Genomic DNA, 3345 nt, shown 5'->3' with positions numbered 1-3345 from the left:
CTAAATGGTAGGAATCAAGCAGGAAGACTGGGTTAGTTCAGGAACCTGATGACACAGGAAGAATCACACACCCAAATAAGTTAGTTTCTACATAATGCTGCCCCCAAAGGATAAGAATGGAGAGATCATGGAGAGTCCCACTGTATACTACAAAACCCATGATCCACCATGAGGAGCTACTGCTTTAAGTTGGTTCTGCAGGGGTACTGTGTGTTGTAAAAAATGCTGAAATTCCTGAGCTGAGTTCTCATGAACAACACTAAACAAATGAAATAACTGGCCTGGCATAAAAGGCTGTCCACACTCCTGGGCAAGTTTATATTTGCAAATGATTGCTTCTTATTGGCAAGACATGGTGGGTGGCCCACCTGGAGGGACAGAGCTGCTCTCTATCTCCTTTTAAGAATTTCCTACCCACCCCCAACCTCCTATCCCCCACTGTGAAACTGGCTAGAAACTTGTGGGAGGCAAAGACGACCATCTGGTGGGGGAGGGAGGGAACCACAATAAACAAGGTCTAGAAAACACACCAAAGCAACCTGCATTTGATACTAATGATGATTATCAAATGGCCTCACAGGCCAGGTACTGAGGTGGGAACTGCTCAGACTTCTGAGAGTAAATAAAGGTCTCCATTGTTTCCCGTGTGAGGTCACAGGCTGGTGGGGAGGTGAGGGAAGTTGGCCCAGGGAAGAAGGGGCAGGCAGGGAGAAAAATACAACAACCTGGGAATTCAGAGAGAAATGCAGACTCAAGATATACAGGGAGGCCCTTGCCTTCATAGGGCGAGATCCACTGGGGTATTATGGAAAATGGTGAAGTGCCCTAGAGGTTGTGTAGTCAGCCCAGGCCGGTGGCCTGTAATCCCAGCACTTCAGGAGGCCGAAGCGGGAGGATTGCTTGAGGCCAGTTCAGGACCAGCCTGGGCAACATAGCAAGACCTATCTCTACCAAAAAAAAAAAAAAAAAAATTTAAAGATAAATCAGCTAGATGTGGTGGTGCACACCTGCAGTACTAGCTACTCAGTAGGCTGAGCTGAAAGGATCACTTGAGCCCAGGAGTTTGAGGCTGCAGTAAGCTATGGTTGTACAACTGCACTCCAGCCTGGGCAACAGAGCAAGACCCTGTTTTAAAAAAAGAAAAAAAAAAGCAACAAAGAAAGAAAGAAAGGGAGAGAGGGAAGGAGGGAGGGAGGGAGAAAGGAAGGAAGGAAGGAGAGGAAGAAAGGAAGGAAGGGAGGAAGGAAGGGAGAAAGGGAGGGAGGGAGGAAGGGAGAGAGGAAGGAAAAGAAGGAAGGAAGGAAGGAAGGAAGGAAGCAAACGAGCTGTGGGTCTCCCAGATGAAGCTGCAGTGCTGGAGTTTACCCACAGCCAGAGCCAAGCAGCAGAAACAATCAGGAGGGAGGGAGAGAGGGAGGGAGGCGGGAGGAGTAGGGGAGGGAGGGAGGAATGGGCGAGGGATGGAGGGAGGGTGGGAAAGAAAAGAAAAGAGAAAAAAGTTGCATAGTTCAAACCTCTTGCAATATAGGGCTCTGGGTGTTCCTGTTCAACGCACTCAGATGGCGGCCTCAGCTTGCACTCCCCCAGCAGCGGGGGCTCACTGATCCACCAGTTAATATATAATTCAGCCTCAGGCAGACTTCATACGACGTGGCGTGGCTAAAAATCAGTGAAGGTGTTTGCATGTTGTGTCTGTCTGTATGCCTCTTGAGGACCTGGGTCTACTTAACTCCTGCCCTCCTCTCTGGCAGCCTCTTCCTCTGGCCACTGATGGCTCCATAGGGGAGTGATCAGAGCCTTAGTGCCAACCTTCCAAGTCAAGTCACTCTGAGGACCATGCTGTTGAAACACTTTCCCCAAAACAGTTTGGCTGTGTGCAAAGTATAACACAAATTTTTAGTTTATTGCAGATATTAGAAACTTCCTGGCTGGGTGCGGTCATTCACTCCTGTAATCCCAGTACTTTGGGAGGCTGAGGTGGGCAGATCACGAGGTCAGGAGTTCGAGCCCAGCCTGGCCAACATAGTGAAACCTCGTCTCTACTAAAAATACAAAAGTTAGCCGCATGTGGTGGCATGGGCCTGTAGTCCCAGCTACTTGGGAGGCTGAGGCAGGAGAATTGCTTCAACCTGGAAGGCAGAAATTGTAGTGAGCCAAAAACCTGCCATTGAACTCCAGCCTGGGTGACAGAATGAGACTCCATCTCAAAAAAAAAAAAAAAAAAACTCCTAAAATGCATGGCTTCAAGGCCTTGTGCTGTGTATTTTCTATATTTAATGTTATCAGGAACCTGAACCAAGGCCTCAGACTCTGAGACCCCACCCTGTGTTCTCCACCTTGACTATCCTTAGCGGTTCCCAGTAACTTTCTGAACAAAGCCACTTGTGTCTAATAAACAAGCAAAGCAGGTGAGGGATGTCCTGGGATGTGCTGCATTTTGTAGCTTGAAGGTAGGATGTTTTTAACTTAAACTTGCAGGAATCAGAAAAGTCAAAGATGTGGTAGGAAAAGGCAAAAACGGATTGTTTCTCTTGCCTTTTATTAAAAAGAAAAAAAGGAAATATAACTGCGGGTCAACTAGCAATGTAGCAATGAGAGGACTTTTTGAGGATGTAAAATTGCAACGATGAGGAAGAGGGGCCGACTTTGCAAATGCTGGAAGAGTAGCAGCCGCCAGCTGAACCCCACTTGATGGTTCCTTTGACACTGCTTTGAAACTTTCATTTTGAGTCATCCTTTGTGCTCAGCAGTAATCCCGGTTTGGCAGATAAATGACCACAGAGATAAAAGACCTTTGAACTATCTCTAAATAAATCCGTATAGCAATTCCTACCACCAACACCAAAAAAAAAAAAAAAAAAAATCATTAGTGATATGCTCAACTAATAGAAGTTTCTCCAGGCATCAGACATCAGGCACTGGTGCTGCCCCCCAGCTAACATAATTCAACACAGCCCAGGCCTCCCAAGTGCCCAGCACCACTGCAGATCACTGTGTGCCCACTCTGTGCCTCAACTAAGGAAGCTCCTATGGATGGTCCGCAGGGAGAGATGCCAAACAGCAATGAGAGCAGGACATACTAAGCAAAGGGCTGTCCTAAGTGTCCAACGGACAACTTCAACCTCACCACAGTGACATCAACAAGGAGGGGCTGCTGTTATCCCTGATTTTCCAACTGTCAGGAAACGTTTCAAGAGGTTAAGTCTTGCCTAAGATTATGCAGGCTGTCTCTGTCCAGAGGCAGAGAGACCATGTTCCTGGAATCAGGGTATCTGAGTTCTAATCCACTTCCAGAGTGGAGGCTCTTTCTAATAGACCCTGTACTCCTCATCTAGAATTTCACAT

General features: G+C 47.3%; 1 protein-coding gene across 19 annotated transcripts in view; it reads right to left on the bottom strand.

The window, feature by feature from the left end:
- SETBP1 (SET binding protein 1) overlaps window positions 1-3345 on the bottom strand; it is a 388438-nt gene that overhangs the window by 355835 nt on the left and 29258 nt on the right. The gene's annotated exons all lie outside the window — the stretch shown is intronic.

The sequence above is a fragment of the Homo sapiens genome, chromosome 18 (assembly GCF_000001405.40).
Source record: "Homo sapiens chromosome 18, GRCh38.p14 Primary Assembly".
NCBI classification, from domain to species: domain Eukaryota; kingdom Metazoa; phylum Chordata; class Mammalia; order Primates; family Hominidae; genus Homo; species Homo sapiens.
The sequence above is the reverse complement of the archived record's forward strand: the minus strand, read 5'-3'. Positions and strand labels throughout refer to the sequence as shown.